Here is a 24401-nt window from a genome sequence, read left to right as displayed (position 1 = left end):
TCCAGACATAGACCCAGATAAATGTGTTCAATTGATTTTTGGAAAGGTGCAAAGGCAATTCATAGGAGAAAGATATTCTTTTCAACAAATGATGTTGAATTGGACATCCACATTCCAAAAAAAATAGAACTTTGATCAACACCTCACACTTAATGCAAAAATGAACTCAACATAGACTATAGATCTAGACGTAAAAGGAAAAACTACAAAACTTTTAGAGGAAAATAGAAGAGAAGATATCTGTGACTTGGGTAAGGCAAAGAGTTATGAGGCGTGACACTAAAAGCATACTCTACAAGAAACAAAAGGATAAATTGAACTTTACCAAAACATAGAACTTTTTTTCTATGAAAGATGCTGTTAAAAAAAGTGAAAAGACAAACAGTAGACTGGGTGAAAATGTTTGCATATCACATATCCAACCAAGGACTTGTATCCAGAATACATATAGAAAACTCTCAAACTCAGCTGTCAGAAGACAAGTTACAAAATGGGCCAAAAACAAACAAACAAACAAACTTCAATAGACACTTTGCCACGGAGGGTAGATGGAAGGCAAATAAGCACATTAAAAGATGTTTAATGCCATCAGCCATTAGGGAAATTCAACTTAAAACCATGATGAGGTACTGCTATACATCTATTCAGATGGCTAAAGTAGAAAATACTGCCAATACCTAAGTAAAGGATGCAGACAGACTAATTAGAACTGTCATACTTTGCTACTGCAAATGGGAATGATACAGCCATTCTGGAAAACAATTTGGCAGTTTTTAATGAATTAAACATACCCTTAGTACATAACCGAGTGTTCCCACTCCTCGGTAGTCACCCTGGGAAAATGAAAACTTATACTCACATGAAAACCTACACATGCACATTCATAGTAGTTTAATAATCTCTAAAAGCTGAACTACCACAAATGTCCTTCAATGAGAGATTAGATAAAATGTGTGGTACATCCACACACTGGGATACTACTTAGCAGTGAAAAGAAGCAAACCACCAGTACATGCAATAAGCCAGTTTCAGAATGTTATTAATACATACTCTATGATTCCATTTATATGACATTCTCTAAACTACAAAGCTATGGGGATGAGAACACTTCTGTGGCTGCCAGGAGTTAGAGGTAGAGAGAGGGTGGGTTGTGACTGCAAATGGGTAGCATGAGAGAATTTTGGGCAAGTGATGGAATTATTCTGTATACTGATTATAGTGTTAGTTATACAAATTTATACATGTGTTAAAATTCATAGAACTGTGTATCAAAAAAGTCCATTTTAGCATATGTTAACTTAAAATTCTTTTTTAATCCTGATGATGTCATCTTCTGTGGAGGAGGATGGAAATGATGCTTTTGATTCTGAAAACATCTTAACAAGAGAAAAATGTTATATGATTAATAGCAAACATTTATTGGGCACTGACTTAGCAAGCACTGCAATATTACTCCCTTTTATCTAATTTAATCCTCCTAACAACACTAGGATAGTCATTTTGTTATTGTCCCCTGTAAGCCAAAAAGTATCTGAGACAAATACTTCCTGTTTCTAATTTTTCTAAAATTTTTAATCAATTTAGATTTTTTTTTTTTTTTTTTGCCAAACTTTTGGATCTTGACCTGTGACGCAGCCTCAGGAAGTCCTGAGAACATGTGCTCAAGGTAATTGGGCTATAGCTTGGTTTTCTATGTTTTAGGTAGAGACAAAACATCAATCAATACGTGTCAGGCATACATTGGTTTGGTCCAGAAAGGTGAGACAGCTTGAAGGGGTGGTGAGGCTTGGAGGTCATGGGTGGTTTCAAAGATGTTATGATTGCCAAATGGTTGAGTTATTATCTAAAGACCAGGAAGGAGGCCATATGTGGTGGCTCTCGCCTGTTATCTCAGCACTTTGGGAGGCCAAGGCAGGTGGATCACCTGAGGCCAGGAGCTTGAAACCAGCCTGGCTAACATGGTGAAACCCTGTCTCTACTAAAAATACAAAAATTAGCTGGGCATGGTCGTGGGCACCTGTAATCCCAGCTACTCCTGTGGCTGAGGGAAGAGAATGGCCTGAATCCAGGAGGGTTGCAGTGAGCTGAGATTGTGCCATTGCACTGCAGCCTGGGTGACAAGAGTAAAACTCCATCTCAAAAAAAAAAAAAAAAAAAGAGAAACAACAAAAGACCTGGAATTAATAGAAAGAAGTATCTGGATTAAGATAAAGAGTTGTGGAGACCAAGGTTTTTATTATGTAGATGAAGTCTCATAGGTGATCATCCCTAGAGGCAATAGATGGCAAATGTCTCTGATTCAGACCCTTAAAAGGCACTAGACTCTCAGCCAATATCTTCAGGATCAGAAAAAGACCTAGAAAGCAAAGGGGATTTGCTATAGAATGCAAATTTCTCCCACAAGAGACAGCTTTGCAGTGCCATTTCAAAATATGTCAAAGAAATATATTTTGGGGTAAAATACTTTGATTTCTTTCAAAGCCCTGCTGTCATGTGATGCTGTAGTAGAGTCAGGTTGGAATTGGATATTTTATTGCTACAAAGAATCTGTTCTGTCAGTCTTAGGATTTCTATTTTAATGTTAATCCTGATCAGTTGTGTACCTGAACACCAAAGGAAAGAGGAGACAATGAGGCATGTCTGACTTCTCCTTCCTGACATGGCCAGAATTAGTTTTTCAGGCTCCATTGGCTGAGAGGAGGTCCGTTTAGTCATTTGGAGGCCTTAGAGTTTTAGTGTTGGTTTACACCCCATTTTGCAGATGAGTTAAACTGAGCCCCAGGTTAGGTGGTTTGCTGAGACCCATGGCTAGAGAGTGAAGTACCTGGTGTTTGAACACAAGTCTCACCAACTCCAAAGTTTTGAGTTTTGTGCCAACGACTTCCTAACTGTTTCCAGGGTTCCAGTATTCTGCTTTTCCTGTTTTAAAATCCTACATATTAACTAAGTATAGCCTTGCCAGAGAGAAACATCATCTCTGCTCTGCGAATAAACTCTCTTCTCACCACTGACCTCTAGTTAATGAGAAATGCTGACTCTTTGGCTAAGGAAATTCTCTAGTATCGATCTCCATTGTTTTCTTTATTTAATACAGCTGTTAAGTTCTTTTAAACAAGGTAATTCATCATGAGATAGTCAAACCCTGGCTTTATTGATGCAACAATTAATTAGTTGGCTGCCCAGTTCTGCAAGGTTTGTTCCAGATGAATGCCTGGCCAGGCTCTGGAGCCATGATGCAAATCTAGTGAACACATTGGACATACTGCTGACTTAATCACATTTGAGATGTTGTTGGATGTGAGTCCCCCCGCCCATGCCTCTGGGATGGATGGTGGCTGGAGCTGCTCTGAGAGCAATTGTAGGAGCTGCCTCTACTAGCACCAAAGCTGGGGACTGGTCATTCCTGGCTTTTCCCAAGGAGGGTTCCTGGGGCCTTTGAGAAAAAAGTAAAGTAGGAAGTTTGAGGTTTATGTTCGTGCTAAAGTGTGGCTGTGCTCTGTAGTGGATAAGAAAGTGGGGACTGGGGTCCGACTGCTTGGGGTCCAGTGGTTGTCATTCACTAGAAGGGACAAGGGACCACTAATCTTTCAATAGCTTTATTAAGATACAACTTACATGCCATACAATTCACTATTTATTCAATGACATTCAGTATATTTACAGAATTTTGTAAACATCACCAAACCTAATTTTAGAATACTTTTCTCATCCTGATTCCAGGGGTCTGGGAGAGCCCCCAAATACTGTTGGGACCTCAACCCCAGCCAGTGTCTAGGCTCTTGACAGCATCATGAGAAAGAATTCAAAGATAAGCCAGAAAACAGTGAAAGTACAGAGATTTATTGTAAATCAAAAAGTACACATTCAAGAAAGAGAAGCACAGGCGTACTCAAAAAAGAGTCACACAGTGGGTTGGAGGTTTCCATCTTTATGTGTCTCTTTAACCAAGGGGTGGAATATTCATGAAGAGTCCTGGGAAAAGGTAGAGATTTCCCAGAACTGTGGTATTGCTCATTTTTAAAAGAAATATGGCTGAATAGACCAATAACAGGATCTGAAATTGTGGCAATAATCAATAGCTTACCAACCAAAAAGACTCCAGGACCAGATGGATTTACAGCCGAATTCTACCAGAGGTACTAGGAGGAACTGGTACCATTCCTTCTGAAACTATTCCAATCAATAGAAAAAGAGGGAATCCTCCCTAACTCATTTTATGAGGCCAGCATCATCCTGATACCAAAGCCGGGCAGAGACACAACCAAAAAAGAGAATTTTAGACCAATATCCTTGATGAACATTGATGCAAAAATCCTCAATAAAATACTGGCAAACCGAATCCAGCAGCACATCAAAAAGCTTATCCACCATGATCAAGTGGACTTCATCCCTGGGATGCAAGGCTGGTTCAATATATGCAAATCAATAAATGTAATCCAGCATATAAACAGAACCAAAGACAAAAACCACATGATTATCTCAATAGATGCAGAAAAGGCCTTTGACAAAATTCAACAACCCTTCATGCTAAAAACTCTCAATAAATTAGGTACTGATGGGACGTATCTCAAAATAATAAGAGCTATCTATGACAAACCCACAGCCAATATCATACTGAATGGGCAAAAACTGGAAGCATTCCCTTTGAAAACTGGCACAAGACAGGGATGCCCTCTCTCACCACTCCTATTCAACATAGTGTTGGAAGTTCTGGCCAGGGCAATTAGGCAGGAGAAGGAAATAAAGGGTATCCAATTAGGAAAAGAGGAAGTCAAATTGTCCCTGTTTGCAGATGACATGATTGTATATCTAGAAAACCCCATTGTCTCAGCCCAAAATTTCCTTAAGCTGATAAGCAACTTCAGCAAAGTCTCAGGATACAAAATCAATGTACAAAAATCACAAGCATTCTTATACAACAGTAACAGACAAACAGAGAGCCAAATCATGAGTGAACTCCCATTCACAACTGCTTCAAAGAGAATAAAATACTTAGGAATCCAACTTACAAGGGATGTGAAGGACCTCTTCAAGGAGAACTACAAACCACTGCTCAAGGAAATAAAAGAGGATACAAACAAATGGAAGAACCTTCCATGCTCATGGGTAGGAAGAATCAATATCATGAAAATGGCCATACTGCCCAAGGTAATTTATAGATTCAATGCCATCCCCATCAAGCTACCAATGACTTTCTTCACAGAATTGGAAAAAACTACTTTAGAGTTCATATGGAACCAAAAAAGAGGCCGCATCGCCAAGCCAATCCTAAGCCAAAAGGACAAAGCTGGAGGCATCACGCTACCTGACTTCAAACTATACTACAAGGCTACACTAACCAAAAGAGCATGGTACTGGTACCAAAACAGAGATATAGATCAATAGAACAGAACAGAGCCCTCAGAAATAATGCCACATATCTACAACTATCTGATCTTTGACAAACCTGAGAAAAACAAGCAATGGGGAAAGGATTCCCTATTTAATAAATGGTGCTGGGAAAACTGCCTAGCCATATGTAGAAAGCTGAAACTGGATCCCTTCCTTATACCTTATACAAAAATTAATTCAAGATGGATTAAAGACTTAAATGTTAGATCTAAAACCATAAAAACCCTAGAAGAAAACCTAGGTATTACCATTCAGGACATAGGCATGGGCAAGGACTTCATGACTAAACACCAAAAGCAATGGCAACAAAAGACAAAATTGACAAATGGGATCTAATTAAACTGAAGAGCTTCTGCACAGCATAAGAAACTACCATCAGAGTGAACAGGCAACCTACAAAATGGGAGAAAATTTTTGCAACCTACTCTTCTGACAAAGGGCTAATATCCAGAATCTACAATGAACTCAAACAAATTTACAAGAAAAAAACAAACAACCCCATCAAAAAGTGGGCGAAGGATATGAACAGACACTTCTCAAAAGAAGACATTTATGCAGCCAAAAAACACATGAAAAAATGCTCATCATCACTGGCCATCAGAGAAATGCAAATCAAAACCACAATGAGATACCATCTCACACCAGTTAGAATGGCAATCATTAAAAAGTCAGGAAACAACAGGTGCTGGAGAGGATGTGGAGAAATAGGAACACTTATACTGTTGGTGGGACTGTAAACTAGTTCAACCATTGTGGAAGTCAGTGTGGCGATTCCTCAGGGATCTAGAACTAGAAATACCATTTGACCCAGCCAACTCATTACTGGGTATATACCCAAAGGACTATAAATCATGCTGCTATAAAGACACATGCACACGTATGTTTATTGCAGCACTATTCACAATAGCAAAGACTTGGAACCAACCCAAATGTCCAACAAGGATAGACTGGATTAAGAAAATGTGGCACATATATGCCATGGAATACTATGCAGCCATAAAAAACGATGACTTCATGTCCTTTGTAGGGACATGGATGAAATTGGAAATCATCATTCTCAGTAAACTATCGCAAGGACAAAAAACCAAACGCCGCATGTTCTCACTCATAGATGGGAATTGAACAATGAGAACACATGGACACAGGAAGAAGAACATCACACTCTGGGGACTGTTGTGGGGTGGGGGGAGGGGGGAGGGATAGCATTAGAAGATATACCTCCTAATACTAAATGACGAGTTAATGGTTGCAGCACACCAGCATGGCACATGTATACATATGTAACTAACCAGCACATTGTGCACATGTACCCTAAAACTTATAGTATAATAATAATAATAATAATAAAAATAAATAAATAAAAAGAAATATGGGTGTTCCTGGAACTGTCATGGCACTGGTGTGTTTTATTTAGTATGTTAATGAGCATATAATGAGGTCCTATGTAAAACCTAGGTCAAATCCGGTGCCATGTTGCGTCCAGTCAGTCTTAGCCAGCTTGATTCGCACCCTGGTTTTTCAGGGTCTTGTCAGTCTCTAGCTTCTGCAACTATTTCAACAATTTTCTTTTACTAGTCATGTGAAACTGCTGCCTGAAATTTTCTATTCTCCTGTGACCACCCTGTATTATTCCTGTCTCAAACCCCAAAGGAAACCTTATCCCCATTTGCAGTCACTTCCCATCTCCCCACCCTAGCCCATCCCTTAAGCAATCACTAATCTACTTTTTGTTTCAATACATTTGTGTTTTCTGGAAAATTAATATAAGTAGAATGATACAATTGTGGTCTTTCTGTACCCAACTTTTTTCTCTTTGCATAATATTTTGAGGTTCATCCATGTTGTAGTGTATATCAATACTTCATTATTTTTCATGGCTGAATAATATTCCAGTGCATTGATATACCACATTTTGTTTATCTAATCACCAGTTGTTAAACATTTAGGTTGTTTCCACTTTTTGGTTGTTATGAATAATGCTGCTATGAACATTCCTGTACAAGTTTTTGTTTGGACATATGTTTTCAGTTCTCCTGGGTATATATCTAGGAGTGATATTGCTGGGTCCTGTGGTGGTGCCACATTTAATATCTTGAAAAACTTTCAAACTATTTCTCAAAGTGGCTATGTCATTTTACACCCCCACCAGCAATGTGTGTGGGTTCTAATTTCTCCACATCCTCCCCAACACTTGTTATTGTCTGTTTTTTTCATTCTGGCCACCCTCATGTGTATGAAGTGGTATCTCGCTGTGGTTTTGATTTGCATTTCCGTGATGGCTAATTACATTAAGCATCTTTTCATGTGCTTATTGGTCATCTGTATGTCGTCTTTGGGAAAATGCCTCTTAAAATCCTTTGCCAATTTCTAAATCAGGTCATGTATCTTCTTATTATTGATCTGTTAAGAATTCTTCATATACTGGGTACGCACTCCTATAGGCTGGCCATTTAAACCCTCAGCCTCAAGTTTGCCTCTAGGCTGCTTTACCAGTGTTTCATTCCTGTAGATCCACACCCTCCTTTTCACCTTGTCTGTCCTTTCTTTTGTTTCCTAATCCTTTCCCATCAGAGAAGGAAATCAATGTGACACACTCACTGCCTCAAGAGAGTAAAACCCTAGACCCATCAGTGCTCACTTTCAAAAGAAAGGTTTCTCCTCTTTACTTCCCAAACATTTGAAACATTTTCCTCTTCCTCCTTCTCCCCTGCACCCCAACCAAAAAAAAACCCCTAAATTTGGAAGCAACATTCCAGATTTTCATGCCCTGCTCAAAGGCAATGAGGTATATCAGAAAGAGACAAACTTGGAGTTTTACTGTTCTGCAGTCCAATCCCAGCTGTGCCTTCTCTATCTGTGTGACTCCAAGCAAGTTGCTTAACCTCTCTAAGCCTAACTTATCTAACTTAAGTTAGTGCTCAAATGAGGAAGAGTATTTTAAAAACATCATTAGTGAATGCAATGATCACCTCTTAAGTGTACTAAGCATTCAATACAAGAATTTCCTCTGCTCTTTACTCGTGCAATCTCACAGTAACTTTGTGAAGTGGGTGTTACTATCTCAGTATTACTAGGGACAGAACAGAGACTCAGGTTACTCAGCCAGTGAGGGGCAGAGCTGGGATTCAAACCCAAATCTCACTCTCTCTAGAGCTTCTGTTCTTCTAAATGAGTTGCAAATGGAGGGCCCCCACTGTAAGCTATCACCCTATTAGAGTAATTTAGAGAAAATAACAAAATCCTAGCAAGAGCTTCCCTGTGGGGGGATTGTTTGTCTGAAATATGTGTGCTTTGTGTGGCTGACTTAATCTTTATTGAGCAAGGGCACCGTGGGAAGTATGGGGCACAACAATGAACAAAACCAGAAGGAGCTTCTTCCCTAAAGCCACTAAAGAAATAAATATAACGGGCCAGGCACAGTGGCTCATGCCAGTAATCCCAGCACTTTGGGAGGCCAAGGTGGGAGGATCACTTGAGGTCAGGAGTTTGAGAACAGCCTGGCCAACATGGTGAAACCCCGTCTCTACTAAAAATACAAAAATTAGCTGGGCATCCTGCCGGGATCCAGTAATCCCAGCTACTTGGGAGGCTGAGGCACGAGAATCACTTGAACCCGGGAGGCAGTGGTTGCAATGAGCCAAGATCATACCACTACACTCCAGCCTGGGCAACAGAGCGAAACTCCATCTCAAAAAAAACAAACAAGTTATTATCTCATTACACATTGTGCTAAGCATCTGGGTTTGAAGTCCTGCTCTGCAGTTTACGACTCGGGTTCTTTGAGCTTTGGCTTCCTCCTCTCCTCTGTACAATGGGTTGGTTATTTCCTGCCTCACTGGCTGTGGGGAAACCTAGGGATGTGTCAGCATGTGCTGGTCCTGTTCTGTAGTCTGTAGTCAGCACCCAGTTAAGGGCTGCAGCCAGAGGTGATCACTTTCTTAAGCTCCGGTTTTCTGAGGTCTGCTTGCAAACACATAGCTCCACTCTGCTGCTGTGAGGCCGAGGCCAGCTTCCGCTTCTCTGCCCTGCAGCAGCCCATGAAGCTCAGGGAAGCCGGCCTCTGTGCCTTCTTTCAGAGGAAAACTAGAACTGACAAGCATGCGTTGAGAATACTGCACCTCCACATGGAACTGCAGAGGAATCGTGCACATGATTAGAGTTTCAAGGAAGTCACTTAAGAACAGGCCACGCGAGGGTTCGGCATTCCTACTGCAGAGGAGGGAAAATCAGAAGCCATATGAGGAGACTTCATTATATTATACGCCTGTTTCGGAATAAACCAGGTCAGTTGTTCTTGCAATTGTATTTAATAGTAGGCCAGAGCTTCTCTGACATGGAAAGACAGGGAGATAATATGATGAGTGCATTGGAAAATCCTTTGCTTTGTCTTTCTGCTTACAGACAGGAATTTAATTTGACTCCAATATTTGGTTCTTTGGGTGAAAGTGCCCAGTGAATGAGGAAATGAAAAATCTGCAGATGAAAGATATTCAGGTGTTGCTGTTGCACAACACGTATAAGCCCAAACTTTGTAACTTAGCATCTAAAAACCTTCACCACATGGACAATGGATTTCTCTCCTGCAGTCATTAATGTCAGGGAGCTGGAGATTGGCTGGCTGAGTTCAAATCCACACTGTCTCTTGCTAGCTCTTTGATTTTAAGTGGCTTAGCCTGTCAGAGCCTCATTTTCCTTGTCTGAGACAAGGGCTGAAACCACTATCTCACAGAGTTATGAGGATAAAGTGGTTTCAAGTTTATAAGGTGATCGGCCCAAGGTGTACACATAGCACAGCTTCTCCAGCTCAGCACCATTGGCCCTGGGAGAGGAAGAGTCCTGTGCACTGTGGGATGTTTAGAAGCATCCCTGACCTTTACCCCTAGATGACAGTAGCATTCCCTCCTACCACAGCTGTGACAACCAGAAATGTCTCCAGATATTGGCAAATATCCCCTGGAGGAGACACAAAATCACCCCTGATAGAAAACCCTTGGCACACAGTAAGTGCTCTCAATAGGGTTGTCATTATCATCTCCCATCACTTGCCTCTGAAATTCTCCACTTAAATCCAATGACTTGAACGTCTCTGGACTAAAATGTGCTTTCTGGCAGTTCTCTGCTCACACCTTCCCTTCAAAGCCCTTTTGAGGCTCCAAAGCCTCAAAGCCCTGTTGTGCCTTCTTTTCCTGAGTTCTCCTGCTCATTCTTCAAGACTCAGTACAGGCATCACCTCCTCCAAGAAGTCTTCTCTTGCCTTTTCCTCTCAAAGGTGGGGACGTTTCCCATGCCAGGGAAATCAGGAACACAGACATAGAAGGAGTGAGGTTAAGAGTGGAGGTTTAATAGGCGAAAGAAAGAGAAAAGCTCTCTCCTGCAGAGAGAGGGGGTCCCGAGCCGGTCCTCCAGCCCCGTGGTGAAGTGCAGGAGGTTTTATAGATAAGCCTGAGAAGGTGGTCTCTGATTTACATAGGGCATAAAAGATTGGTCAGACCAGGTGTGCAATTTGCATAGCATGCGAAGAACTGATTAAGACTGGGTGTGTCATTTGCATAGTGTGTGAAGAAGCTGGCCACTCACCCTTATATTTTATTATGCAGGTGGGTTCTCTGCCTCGCCAGTGCCATGCTGCCTGCTTTTTTACTGTACACATGGTGACAAAGAAAAGGGGAGATAGAGACTCCATATTGAACACACCTGGCTCCCAGGTAGCCCTTTCCTATTGGTCCAGCTGCCGGCATTCACCTATGCCAGGTTCCAGCTTGCATATTTGCAGCTTGATTTTTCAGGCTGCTCTTTGGTAGAAAAGAAATGATTTGGGGGCTGCATTTTGTTAAAAGGGAAGCCTTCCTGAGGACTCCTTTACCCTCACTATCTGCCTGAATAATTTCTTTCTAGCCCCTGTATCAGAATTATCACAGAGTTATCACTGTCTGTGTTTCTCTCCCACATAAGACTGTGATACTCAAAGGTCAGAGTTGTGGGCATGTAGTACGGACTCATTGAATGCTCGATGCAGGGAGTGGCAAAGCGAAGAGTTAATGGCCGGGGTCCTTCCCAAAAGGACAAGGAGACCAGCAACCCCAGCTTCAAGACTTCTCCCTCCTGCTTTCATCTGGTTCCCCAGGACACAGCACAAGAAGCAACAGGAGCTGTGTCAGCCTCACTAAATAAAAACAGCTCTATAAAAACATCATTAGAAACTCATTTACTGCAAGCCACCAAAACCGCATGAGGCAGAGAAAATCGACCCATCCCCAAACGTCTTTCTCTTGTTCTGTTTGCTCTCTTCTTTTGTCTGTTTTTTTTCCCTCATGTTTTGCTGATTCTCTTCGTTTCCAAAGAATTATTTCCACTGCTCTTTGCTGCCAAGTCCCCAAACAATCATGCACACATACTTGTGTGTTGCTAGAGGCGAGAAGAATGGCTTTGCTGCGGTGTAAACTTTCTGCAGTTTGCAAAGTTTTCAATTCCAATACCCCAAGTTGCTGGAGCCCAGCTTTGATCATGTATTAACGTCCAACTGTTGGACTTAATTTCTCTGCATAAAAAAAAAAGGAACATAGGGGTTTTTAATAGAGTTAAATAGTTTGTGTTTTATAAAACTTTCTGCCTTCCATTCCCAATTCTAATCAGTGCTATTGGTTGGCCCAGAAAATGACTTAAACATTACTTGAACATTGGCTTAAAGGTGAATTTTAAAAGTCATTTTCCATTCATTCATGATTTTCTTAATTTTTAGCAGGGATACTGTTCAGTGTCTGTGCTTCTGCTGCTGCTCTTCTCACTTTGAGAAAAGGAAGGAAAAGGGGAAACAATGATGCTGGGGACCCACCTTGTGCCTCTCCCCTTGGGAGAAGTACTCATAAGACCACTCTTACAGCCAAGGGCTCTTGGGCACAGGGACGTCAAGCAAGTTTCTGACAGTCACACAGCTAGTGGTGACAGAGTCAGGATTAATAACAGAACCATCTCCTGGAAAACTTGAATGGTGTCATTTTCTCTGTCCTCTTGCTTCTCCATTATTTAAGTCCTGATAATACCTCCTACCAGGACCCATCTAGTGCTGGAGCAACGGAAATCCTTTCCAATCTATTATAAAACGGGATTCTCATTTCCAGCCCTTGCAAGGGCTATTTTAAGGATTAAACCTCACAGATTGATGTTTGTGCAGCTGGGTACCCAGAAAACAGTTTATCATTATTGTCTGTTATTATTATTTCTTCCTTCCAAACTTATCAGTCTTCTATCCCATTCTCCAGGTCCTGCCCGCTATTTAGAAATTTTTCTAAAATTTCTTTATAAGTTCTTTAAGGATTGGGTCAACCTCCGATCCTACACCTCACTTCAAATATAATGTCCACCATGAATCTAGCAAAGCCTGGTTGAATTGAGCAGTGATAGTGGTAGCAGGCTAAATGAGTAAAGGGTACATTGGCAAATCTCTTTCCAGCTGAGGCAGTCCAATGCCACGGGCTGTTACAGATCCAAGTCTAAGGACCCCAATGGATCATGCTAATGGCAGAAATATGAGACGTAATAGCAGGCTATGGGGGACACACTTAAGAGTAGATGAAAATTTTTTTCTCCTCCAGTATATTATAAGGATTGTATCTTCTTTTTTACTTTATCTTATTTTATTTCATTTTTTGAGATGGAGTCTTCCCCTGTCTCCCAGGCTGGAGTGCAGTGGTGTGATTTCAGCTCACTGCAACCTCCGCCTCCCGGGTTCAAGCAGCTCTCCTGCCTCAGCCTCCTGAGTAGCTGGGACTACAGGTGCACACCACCATGCCTGGCTAATTTTGGTATTTTTAGTAGAGACTGGGTTTCACCATGTTGGCCAGGCTGTTCTGAAACTCCTGACCCCCACTTCGGCCTCCCAAAGTGCTGAGACTACAGGCGTGAGCCACCGGCCCGGACTGTGTCTTCTTTTTGAACATTGGAACTATTATATTTTTTTCAACTTGGGCTTTCTAACATTTTGTTTTTAAGTGCTAACTATCTGCTAGATGATCAGTGCTAACTATCTGCTAGATGATCAGTGCTATTATGGATATAAGGATGATGATATGGTTTGGATCTGTGTCCCCCCACCCCCACCCGGCCCCCAAATCTCATGTTGAATTGTAATCCCCAATATTGGGGCCTTGTGGGAAGCAATTGGATCATGAGGGCAGATTTCCCCCTGGGTGCTGCTCTCGTGATAGTGAGTAACTGCTCACTCAAGATCTGCTTGTTTAAAAGTGTGTAGCCCCTCCCCACTCTCTCTCTCTCCCTCTGTCCTCCTCCTGCTCTGGCCATTAAGCCCAATAGCAGTGATGGGAATGCATAAAACAGAAAGGAATCTACACTCCAATCTTTCGTGTTTGACCTCCTATTATTCCCCCTTCCCTATAACACAAATTCAGAGGAAAACTTATTTATTAAACACTTATCATGTCCCAAGTGTCAGGCCTCTGAGCCCAAGCCAAGCCATCGTATCCCCTGTGACTTGCACGTATATGCCCAGATGGCCTGAAGTAACTGAAGAATCACAAAAGAAGTGAAAATGCCCTGCCCCGCCTTAACTGATGACATTCCACCACAAAAGAAATGTAAATGGCCAGTCCTTGCCTTAAGTGATGACATTACCTTGTGAAAGTCCTTTTCCTGGCTCATCCTGGCTCAAAAAGCACCCCCACTGAGCACCTTGCGACCCCCACTCCTGCCCACTGAGCACCTTGCGACCCCCACTCCTACCCGCCAGAAAACAAACCCCCTTTGACTGTAATTTTGCTTTACCTACCCAAATCTTATAAAATGGCCCCACCCCTATCTCCCTTTGCTGACTCTCTTTTCGGACTCAGCCCACCTGCACCCAGGTGATTAAAAGCTTTATTGCTCACACAAAGCCTGTTTGGTGGTCTCTTCACATGGACACACATGAAATTTGGTGCGGTGACTCGTATCGGGGGACCTCCCTTGGGAGATCAATCCCCTGTCCTCCTGTTTTTTGCTCCATGAGGAAGATCCACCTACGACCTCAGGTCCTCAGACCAACCAGCCCAAGAAACATCTCACCAATTTCAAATCCTGTAAGCGGCCTCTTTTTACTGTCTTCTCCAACCTCCCTCACTATCCCTCAACCTCTTTCTCCTTTCAATCTTGGTGCCACACTTCAATCTCTCCCTTCTCTTGATTTCAATTCCTTTCATTTTCTGGTAGAGACAAAGGAGACACGTTTTATCCGTGGACCCAAAACTCCGGTGCCCGTCACGGACTGGGAAGGCAGCCTTCCCTTGGTGTTTCATCATTGCAGGGACGCCTCTCTGATCATTCACCCACGTTTCAGAGGTGTCAGACCACGCAGGGACGCCTGCCTTGGTCCTTCACCCTTAGTGGCAAGTCTTGCTTTTCTGAGGAAGGGGCAAGTACCCAAACTCCTTCTCTCCTTGTCTCTACCCCTTCTCTGCTTTTCTGGGGGAGGGGCAAGTACCCCTCAACCCCTTCTCCTTCACCCTTAGCAGCAAGTCCCGCTTTTCTACGGGGCAAGAACCCCCAATCCCTTATTTCTGCACCCCAACCTTATCTCTGCACCCCAATCCCTTATTTCCACACCCAGACCTCTTATCTCTGTGCCCCAATCCCTTATTTCCACACCCCAACCTCTTATCTCTGTGCCCCAATCCCTTATTTCCATGCCCCGACCCCCCTTCCTGCTTTTCTGGAGGGTAAGAACCCCCGAACCCCTTCCCTCCGTGTCTCTACGCTCTCTTTTCTCTGGGTTTGCCTCCTTCACTATGGGCAACCTTCCACCCTCCATTTCTCCTTCTCCTTTAGCCTGTGTCCTCAAGAACTTAAAACCTCGTCAACTCACACCTGACCTAAAACCTAAATGCCTTATTTTCTTCTGCAACACTGCTTGGCCCCAATACAAACTTGACAATAGCTCTAAATGGCCAGAAAACGGCATTTTTGATTTCTCCATCCTACAAGACCTAAATAATTTTTGTCGAAAAATGGGCAAATGGTCTGAGGTATCTTACGTCCAGGCATTTTTCACACTTCGTTCCATCCCTAGCCTCTGTTCCCAATGCGATTCCTCCCAGATCCTCCTTCTTTCCCTCCCGCCTGTCCCCGCAGTCCCAACCCCAAGTGTCGCTGAGTCTTTCCAGTCTTCCTTTTCTACAGACCCATCTGACCTTTCCCCTCCTCCCCAGCCTGCTCATCGCCAGGCCGAGCTAAGTCCCAATTCTTCCTCAGCCTCCACTCCTCCACCCTATAATCCTCCTACCACCTCCCCTCCTCACACCCGGTCCGGCTTACAGTTTAGTTCCGCAACTAGCTCTTCCCCACCTGCCCAACAATTTCCTCTTAGAGAGGTGGCTGGAGCTGAAGGCATAGTCAACGCACATGTACCTTTTTCTCTATCAGACCTCTCTCAGATCAGTCAGCATTTAGGCTCTTTCTCATCAGACCCCACTAAATATATACAGGAATTCCGATATCTAACTCTGTCCTACAACTTAACCTGGAGTGACCTAAATGTCATCCTGACTTCTACCCTCTCCCCAGATGAACGGGAAAGAGTTTTTCCTGTATCCCAATCTCACGCTGATAACCGTCGGCTTCATGAGCCAGACCTCCAGGAAGGCATTAGAGCAGTTCCCCGAGAGGATCCCCCAGTGGAACTACCAGGCAAATTCCCCAGGTATAGCTAGGTGAGATTACATGGTTTCCTGCCTAGTTGAAGGGCTTAAAAAAGCAGCTTACAAAGCTGTTAATTATGACAAACTTAAAAAAACTACCCAAGGTAAAGATGAAAACCCAGCCCAGTTCATGGCCCGCTTAGCAGCAACCATTAGATGCTATACCACCCTAGACCCAGAGGGGCCAGAAGGCCGCCTTATTCTTAGTATGCATTTTATCACCCAATCCACTCCTGACATTAGGAAAAAACTTCAAAAATTAGAATCTGGCCCTCAAACCCCACAACAGGAATTAATCAACCTTGCCTTCAACGTGTACAATAATAGAGAGGAAGCAGCCAGACGGCAATGCATTTCTGAGTTACAATTACTTGCCTCCACTGTGAGACAAACCCCAGCCACATCTCCAGCACACGAGAACTTCCAAACGCCTGAACCGCAGCAGCCAGGCGTTCCTCCAGAACCTCCTCCCCCAGGAGATTGCTACAAGTGCCAGAAATCTAGCCACCAGGCCAAGGAATGCCCGCAGCCCGGGATTCCTTCTAAGCCACGTCCCATCTGTGTGGGACCCCACTGAAAATCGGACTGTTCAACTCACCTGGCAGCCACTGCCAGAGTCGCTGGGACTCTGGCCCAAGGCTCTCTGACTGACTCCTTCCCAGATCTTCTCGGCTTAGCAGCAGAAGACTGACACCGCCCAATCGCCTCAGAAGCCAACAGAACCATCACAGATGCTCTGGATAACTCTCACAGTGGAGGGTAAGTCCGTCCCCTTCTTAATCAATACGGAGGCTACCCACTCCACATTACCTTCTTTTCAAGGGCCTGTTTCCCTTGCCTCCATAACTGCTGTGGGTATTGACGGCCAGGCTTCTAAACCTCTTAAAACTCCCCAACTCTGGTGCCAATTTAGACATTACTCTTTTAAGCACTCCCTTTTAGTTATCCCCACCTGCCCAGTTCCCTTATTAGGCTGAGACACTTTAACTAAATTATCTGCTTCCCTGACTATTCTAGGCTACAGCTGCACCTCACTGCCACCTTTTCCCCCAGTTCAAAGCCTCCTTCACATCCTCCCCTTATATCTCCCCACCTTAACTCACAAGTATAAGACAAGTATAAGACTCACAAGTATAAGACTACTACTACTCCCTCCTTAGTGACCGATCATGCACCCCTTACCATCCCATTAAAACCTAATCACCCTTACCCCGCGCAATGCCAAGATCCCATCCCACAGCATGCTTTAAAAGGATTAAAGCCTGTTATCACTCGCCTGCTACAGCATAGGCTTCTAAAACCTATAAACTCTCCTTACAATTCCCCCATTTCACCCGTCCTAAAACCAGACAAGCCTTACAGGTTAGTTCAGGATCTGTGCCTTATCAGTCAAATTGTTTTGCCTATCCACCCTGTGGTGCCAAACCCGTATACTCTCCTATCCTCACTACCTGCCTCTACAACCCATTATTCTGTTCTGGATCTCAAACATGCTTTCTTTACTATTCCTTTGCACCCTTAATCCCAGCCTCTCTTCACTTTCACTTGGACTGACCCTGACACCCATCAAGCTCAGCAAATTACCTGGGCTGTACTGCCGCAAAGCTTCACAGACAGCCCCCATTACCTCAGTCAAGCCCAAATTTCTTCCTCATCTGTTACCTATCTCGGCATAATTCTCATAAAAACACACGTGCTCTCCCTGCCAATCGTGTCCGACTGATCTCTCAAACCCCAGCACCTTCTACAAAACAACAACTCCTTTCCTTCCTAGGCATGGTTAGCGTGGTCAGAATTCTTACACAAGAGCCAGGACCACACCCTGTAGCCTTTCTGTCCAAACAACTTGACCTTACTGTTTTAGCCTAGTCCTCATGTCTGCGTGCAGTGGCTGCCGCTGCTTTAATACTTTTAGAGGCCCTCAAAATCACAAACTATACTCAACTCACTCTCTACAGTTCTCATAACTTCCAAAATCTATTTTCTTACTCATACCTGACGCATATGCTTTCTGCTTCCCGGCTCCTTCAGCTGTATTCACTCTTTGTTGAGTCTCCCACAATTACCATTGTTCCTGGCCCGGACTTCAATCCGGCCTCCCACATTATTCCGGATACCACACCTGACCCTCATGACTGCATCTCTCTGATCCACCTGATGTTCACCCCATTTCCCCACATTTCCTTCTTCCCTGTTTCTCACCCTGATCACACTTGGTTTATTGATGGCAGTTCCACCAGGCCTAATCGCCACTCACCAGCAAAGGCAGGCTATGCTATAGTATCTTCCACATCTATCATTGAGGCTACCACTCTGCCCCCCTCCACTACCTCTCAGCAAGCCGAACTAGTTGCCTTAACTCAAGCTCTCACTCTTGCAAAGGACTACGCGTCAATATCTATACTGATTCTAAATATGCCTTTCATATTCTGCACCACCATGCGGTCATATGGGCTGAAAGAGGTTTTCTCACTACACAAGGGTCCTCCATCATTAATGCCTCTTTAATAAAAACTCTACTCAAGGCCGCTTTACTTCCAAAGGAAGCTGGGGTCATTCACTGCAAGGGGCATCAAAAGGCATCAGATCCCATTGCTCTAGGCAACGCTTATGCTGATAAGGTGGCTAGACAAGCAGCTAGCTCTCCAACTTCTGTCCCTCACGGCCAGTTTTTCTCCTTCACATTGGTCACTCCCACCTACTCCCCTGCTGAAACTTCCACCTATCAATCTCTTCCCACACAAGGCAAATAGTTCTTAGACCAAGGAATATATCTCCTGCCAGCCTCACAGGTCCATTCTATTCTGTTGTCATTTCATAACTTCTTCCATGTAGGTTACAAGCTGCTAGCCCGTCTCTTAGAACGTCTCATTTCCTTTCCATCATGGAAATCTATCCTCAAGGAGATCACTTCTCAGTGTTCCATCTGCTATTCTACTACCCCTCATGGATTGTTTAGGCCTCCTCCCTTTCCTACACATCAAGCTCGGGGATTTGTCCCTACCCAGGACTGGCAAATTGACTTTACTCACATGTCTCCAGTCAGAAAACTAAAATATCTCTTAGTCTGGGTAGACACTTTCACTGGATGGATAGAGGCCTTTCCTACAGGGTCTGAGAAGGCCACCGCAGTCATTTCTTCCCTTCTGTCAGACATAATTCCTCAGTTTAGCCTTCCCACCTCTATACAGTCTGATAACGGACCAGCCTTTATTAGTCAAATCAGCCAAGCAGCTTTTCAGGCTCTTAGTATTCAGTGAAACCTTTATATCCCTTACAGTCCTCAGTCTTCAGGAAAGGTAGAACACACTAATGGTCTTTTAAAAACACAACTCACCAAGCTCAGCCACCAACTTAAAAAGGACTGGACAATACTTTTACCACTTTCGCTTCTCAGAATTCAGGCCTGTCCTCAGAATGCTACAAGGTACAGCCCATTTAAGCTCCTGTATAGACGCTCCCTTTTATTAGGCCCCAGTCTCATTCCAGACGCCAGACCAACTTAGACTGTGCCCCAAAAAACTTGTCATCCCTACCATCTTCTGTCTAGTCATAGTACTATTCACCGTTCTCAACTACTCATACATGCCCTGCTCTTGTTTACACTGTTTCTCCAAGCCATCACAGCTGATATCTCCTGGTGCTATCCCCAAACTGCCACTCTAAATTCTTGAAGTAAATAAATAATCTTTGCTGGCAGGACTATGCTGAATCTCCTTAGGCACTCTCTAATCAGATGTCCTGGGTCCTCCCAATTCTTAGACCTTTTATACCTGTTTTTCTCCTTCTCTTATTCCATTTAGTTTTTCAATTTATACAAAACCGTATCCAGGCCATCACCAATAATTCTACACGACAAATGTTTCTTCCAAAAACCCCACAATATCACCCCTTACCACGAAATGTTCCTTCAGCTTAATCTCTCTCACTCTAGGTTCCCACGCCGCCCCAATCCCGCTCAAAGCAGCCCTGAGAAACATCGCCCATTCTCTCTCTCCATACCACCCCCCAAACATTTTCGCCGCCCCCACACTTCAACACTATTTTGTTTTATTTTTCTTATTAATATAAGAAGGTAGGAATGTCAGGCCTCTGAGCCCAAGCCAAGCCATCGCATCCCCTGTGACTTGCACGTATATGCCCAGATGGCCTGAAGTAACTGAAGAATCACAAAAGAAGTGAAATGCCCTGCCCCGCCTTAACTGATGACATTCCACCACAAAAGAAATGTAAATGGCCGGTCCTTGCCTTAAATGATGACATTACTTTGTGAAAGTCCTTTTCCTGGCTCATCCTGGCTCAAAAAGCTCCCCCACTGAGCACTTTATGACCCCCACTCCTGCCCACCAGAGAACAAACCCCCTTTGACTGTAATTTTGCTTTACCCACCCAAATCTTATAAAATGGCCCCACCCCTATCTCCCTTCACTGACTCTCTTTTCGGACTCAGCCCACCTGCACCCAGGTGATTAAAAGCTTTATTGCTCACACAAAGCCTGTTTGGTGGTCTCTTCACACGGACACACATGAAACCAAGTACTGTACACATTGCATTCATCGTTTGACTCACATAATGAAAACATATTAAGGTAGAGGTTATTCTTGTTCTCATTTTATGGATGAAAAAACTGAGGTTCAGACAGGTTAAGTAACTTCCCTATAGTCACAGCACTCCTAAGTGGCAGCGCTGGGGTTGAGCTCCAAGTCTGTGAAAGTGAAAGGGCCATGCCTTTAACCAAATGCTACACTATCTCTGTGTTCTCTCTTTCATAAAGAAGCTTCATAAAGGGTTCTTAGATGTGGGAATTCAAGGAATCCTGGAAACACAAACATTGGGCTTAGGTCTATGCCTGCGGCATCCTCTGGGTACAGCCAGAGTGCTAATTAGCATTTGTTCATCGCCTCTAATTATCTGAGTCTCTGACAGTTTGAGTTCATGAATGCTAATGTGAGGGGAGAGTTGTGAGAAGTTAGAAGCAGAGGCCTCGGGCTTATAGAGACAAACGTTGTGTTTTAGCTGACCCAATGGCTTCTGGTGGGGCAGAGAGACCAGGACATGGAGTTAGAAACAGATTGAAATGAAGAGAGTCACTTACCATGTACCTTTTATCCCAAGAGCTCTCACTTTGCTGGAATTATGCCCTAAATAACCCAGCTCAAGGACTAATGAGTTTCAAAAGATTGATGTAGTAATTTTAACATTTGTATTGCAAAAGGTTGTAGAGCACATGTATTATTTTCTGCCTGCCCAGCAACAATTTTTCTTTCTTCTGGTAATAGGACATTGATTTTGCCTGGGAAGACACCCACTCCAACTTAAAGTCCATGTAATTCTGATGTTGTCCCCCAACCTACACCCCAGCCCTAGGCTCCAAGAGGGACCCTGTAATTCATACCTGCCCAATTACCATATTCTATCCTCATGGCCTCAGTGATTGACTCAGGAATAAGCCAATGAGATTCAATTCCAACTTTTCCTAAATGTTGGAGAAGTATCTAAGTTGTGAATAGATCTGATTGGCTTTAGGTTCAGCTATATCCAGAGGATCAAGTGTATAAACAAGAAGCTGTCATTCTCCATCTCTGGTCCTATTTTCCTTTATGTTGCTTCAGTTTTTTGTACACATTCTCTACATTTTAAGAATTCTGGCTACAAGCAGTGCCCTTCTCAGCCTTAGGCTCCATATATCAAATTTCACAAGAGAATTCTTCACTGCTCCCACTCACTTGCACAGTCTACCCCCTTGGCCAATTACAGCTGGGAAAATGCAGTTCTATGAGTGGCTGTATCCAGGTCACCCTTGCAGCTGCAGGGAGGTGGGGCAGCAGGTGCCATCAAGTTCACTGTTTGTGGAGGATGAGCAGTTTCTCCAAGGTAGGCAAATGCCCCGCACGGTTCCTTTTAACTATGAATGGGTCCCTATGTTTTTCACGTGTCCAGAAAATGGACTATGTCATTAGACTTTTCAGACTTGGAAGGGCACACTGGCTCTGTCAATGATGTCATTGGCCAAATCATATTCCTTGGAAGACTTTCAATCCAAGTTATAAGCAGATGTTGGTGACATAGCAGCATGCTACTGCCAAGACACAGGGACAGGCCAATGGACTCACTTGAGAGGATGCTTAATGGCCCATTTCCCTCCAAGAGCAGGAGACAGAGGAGATGGTGAGTCCCCCTGCCACCCAGCACAGCCTCAGCCTCCCTCATTCTTCCTTTCTCCTCTAGTCTCCCTCTTTTTTTTTTTTTTCTGAGGGAGTCTCACTCTGTTGCCCAGGCTGGAGTGCAGTGGCATGATCTTGGCTCACTGCAACCTCCACCTCCCGGCTTCAAGTGATTCTCCTGCCTCAGCCTCCCAAGTAGCTGAGACTACGGGTGCCTGCCACCATGCCCAGCTAATCTTTGTATTTTTAGTAGAGACAGGGTTTTGCCATGTTGGCCAGGCTAATTTAGAACTCCTGGCCTCAGGTGATCTACCATGCCCAGCCTCCAGTGTCCCTGTTATACCCCTTCTCATCTCCTGCCAGGGTATTATTCTCAATTTAAGCTACTGATGTCACTCTTTCTAAATGTCAGCGGGTCCTCATTTTATACTTCAAAATCCAAGGTTTTCAACTTGGCATCTGGGCTATTTGCAGCCCATCCAGAACCCACCTGTTGTTTTAAAATTTTTTTAAGGCTGGGCACAGTGGCTCACGCCTGTAATCCCAGCATTTTGGGAGGCCGAGGTTGGCGGATCATGAGGTCAGGAGGTCCAGATCATCCTGGCCAACATGGTGAAAACCCGTCTCTACTAAAAATACAAAAATTAGCTGGGCATGGTGGCACACGCCTGTAATCCCAGCTATTCGGGAGGCTGAGGCAGGAGAATGGCTTGAACCTGGGAGGCGGAGATTGCACTCCAGCCTGGTGACAGAGTGAGACTCTGTCTCAAAAAAAAAAAAAAATTAATTTTAATTTGTTTTGAGATAGGGTCTCACTATGTTGTCCAGGTTGGTCTCAAATTTCTCCCCACAAGCATTCCCACTTCAGCCTCTTGAGTTGTTGGAATTACAGGCGTGAGCCACCACACCCGTCTCTTCCCCACCTTTCTAATGAGGACGCTTCCTTGTTTCTCTACCTCCTCGTTTCCTCCATTCTTTGTCGTGCTCCAACTGCAGTGAGTTATTTTTTTTGTTCCATGTGGGTACTGGTTCTTTGGCACCTCTGCACCTATAATTGTGTTGCCTAGGACACCTTTGTCCACGAACAATCTTTTAAAAACTCTCCCTCTATTAAGCCTACACTACACACTATCATCATCTGAGACAAGCTTTGAGAGCACAAATTCTGGAACTCCAACACCCTGATTCCACCATTTATTACCCCTGTGATCTTGGACAAGTTAGCCTCAGTTTTCTCATCTGTAAAGTTTGAGATATTAATAATAATAGGGTATCTTCCTCTTGGAATTGTTGTGAGGTTTAAATGTATTAAATTATCTAACACACTTGGAGCAGTGCCTGACACATGAACACTCCAAAAGTGTTTGTTTATTGTTATTTTATTCATTCCCATACCTGTCTCCTTGTAAACTCTAGGCTCTTTGAGGGCAGTGAATGTGGCTTTTTTTTTTTTTTTTCTGCATCCTCAATGTTTATTAATTGCTCTTTTTCCTTCCCTAACTGGGTTTGTGAACACTGAGCATCAACATCTCCAGTCTCATCATGGGAGACACTCATCCAGAAGCAAATCTCAGCCAACAGGAGCGGAGCCAACGTGGGTGGCTGCAACTGCAGTAAGATTGCCACCATTCGGGGGCCAGCCAGGATCTCATGCCTAGTGCTGCTTTGGTGGCTATGATGGACCATTTCAACAGGTGACCACATGGAGAATTGAGCAACATATTCTTATGGAAACAGCACCTGTACAGGGAAAGGCACAGTATGTGGGGAAACACAGGAAACAACACAGAGGAAGAAGAAGCACTTGAGGAGACAGTGTTCCTCTGAGCTCGGCGTGCTGTGTTGTCTGCTGGGCGGCTGGCGGAGGACCAGGGCACAGAGCAGTATTTAACTGCTCAGCTCTTGCTCTGAACAGCTGAGCTATAAATGCTCATACCTCAGCCGAAGAATAAGCAACCTAATCTTAACTTGTATTCCAGTAAAAATAAAAATACGTTGGGTTGGAAGAAAGAGAGATGCATTGCCTTTTGATTTCACTTACCACCTCTTTTATTGCAAGAATTGTATTGCTGCTCCTCCAGCTGTGATAACTCTTTCAGGAATAATAAGAGCTCTCACCTGTCTTAAACAGACCAATGAAAGAATCTAGTCCTTCTGCGC

At 43.7% G+C, this 24401-nt stretch overlaps 7 annotated features.

Annotated features, from left to right (window-relative positions):
• Nucleotides 9215-10142: an enhancer, noted in NCBI's record as "NANOG-H3K27ac-H3K4me1 hESC enhancer chr16:9774851-9775778 (GRCh37/hg19 assembly coordinates)". NCBI's record gives its function as "activates a minimal SCP1, AML or CMV promoter by ChIP-STARR-seq in naive H9 embryonic stem cells {active_cell/tissue: H9 hESC(naive)}" and the evidence as "EXISTENCE:reporter gene assay evidence [ECO:0000049][PMID:30033119]".
• Nucleotides 10143-11070: an enhancer, noted in NCBI's record as "NANOG-H3K27ac-H3K4me1 hESC enhancer chr16:9773923-9774850 (GRCh37/hg19 assembly coordinates)". NCBI's record gives its function as "activates a minimal SCP1, AML or CMV promoter by ChIP-STARR-seq in naive H9 embryonic stem cells {active_cell/tissue: H9 hESC(naive)}" and the evidence as "EXISTENCE:reporter gene assay evidence [ECO:0000049][PMID:30033119]".
• Nucleotides 13229-13794: an enhancer, noted in NCBI's record as "OCT4-NANOG-H3K27ac hESC enhancer chr16:9771199-9771764 (GRCh37/hg19 assembly coordinates)". NCBI's record gives its function as "activates a minimal SCP1, AML or CMV promoter by ChIP-STARR-seq in primed H9 embryonic stem cells {active_cell/tissue: H9 hESC(primed)}" and the evidence as "EXISTENCE:reporter gene assay evidence [ECO:0000049][PMID:30033119]".
• Nucleotides 13795-14359: an enhancer, noted in NCBI's record as "OCT4-NANOG-H3K27ac-H3K4me1 hESC enhancer chr16:9770634-9771198 (GRCh37/hg19 assembly coordinates)". NCBI's record gives its function as "activates a minimal SCP1, AML or CMV promoter by ChIP-STARR-seq in naive and primed H9 embryonic stem cells {active_cell/tissue: H9 hESC(naive and primed)}" and the evidence as "EXISTENCE:reporter gene assay evidence [ECO:0000049][PMID:30033119]".
• Nucleotides 16057-16622: an enhancer, noted in NCBI's record as "H3K27ac-H3K4me1 hESC enhancer chr16:9768371-9768936 (GRCh37/hg19 assembly coordinates)". NCBI's record gives its function as "activates a minimal SCP1, AML or CMV promoter by ChIP-STARR-seq in primed H9 embryonic stem cells {active_cell/tissue: H9 hESC(primed)}" and the evidence as "EXISTENCE:reporter gene assay evidence [ECO:0000049][PMID:30033119]".
• Nucleotides 16623-17188: an enhancer, noted in NCBI's record as "H3K27ac-H3K4me1 hESC enhancer chr16:9767805-9768370 (GRCh37/hg19 assembly coordinates)". NCBI's record gives its function as "activates a minimal SCP1, AML or CMV promoter by ChIP-STARR-seq in naive and primed H9 embryonic stem cells {active_cell/tissue: H9 hESC(naive and primed)}" and the evidence as "EXISTENCE:reporter gene assay evidence [ECO:0000049][PMID:30033119]".
• Nucleotides 20115-20894: an enhancer, noted in NCBI's record as "OCT4-NANOG-H3K27ac hESC enhancer chr16:9764099-9764878 (GRCh37/hg19 assembly coordinates)". NCBI's record gives its function as "activates a minimal SCP1, AML or CMV promoter by ChIP-STARR-seq in naive and primed H9 embryonic stem cells {active_cell/tissue: H9 hESC(naive and primed)}" and the evidence as "EXISTENCE:reporter gene assay evidence [ECO:0000049][PMID:30033119]".

The sequence above is a fragment of the Homo sapiens genome, chromosome 16 (assembly GCF_000001405.40).
Source record: "Homo sapiens chromosome 16, GRCh38.p14 Primary Assembly".
Taxonomy (NCBI): Eukaryota; Metazoa; Chordata; class Mammalia; order Primates; family Hominidae; genus Homo; species Homo sapiens.
Note: the sequence above shows the minus strand (reverse complement) of the source record. Positions and strands in the feature narration are given on the sequence as shown.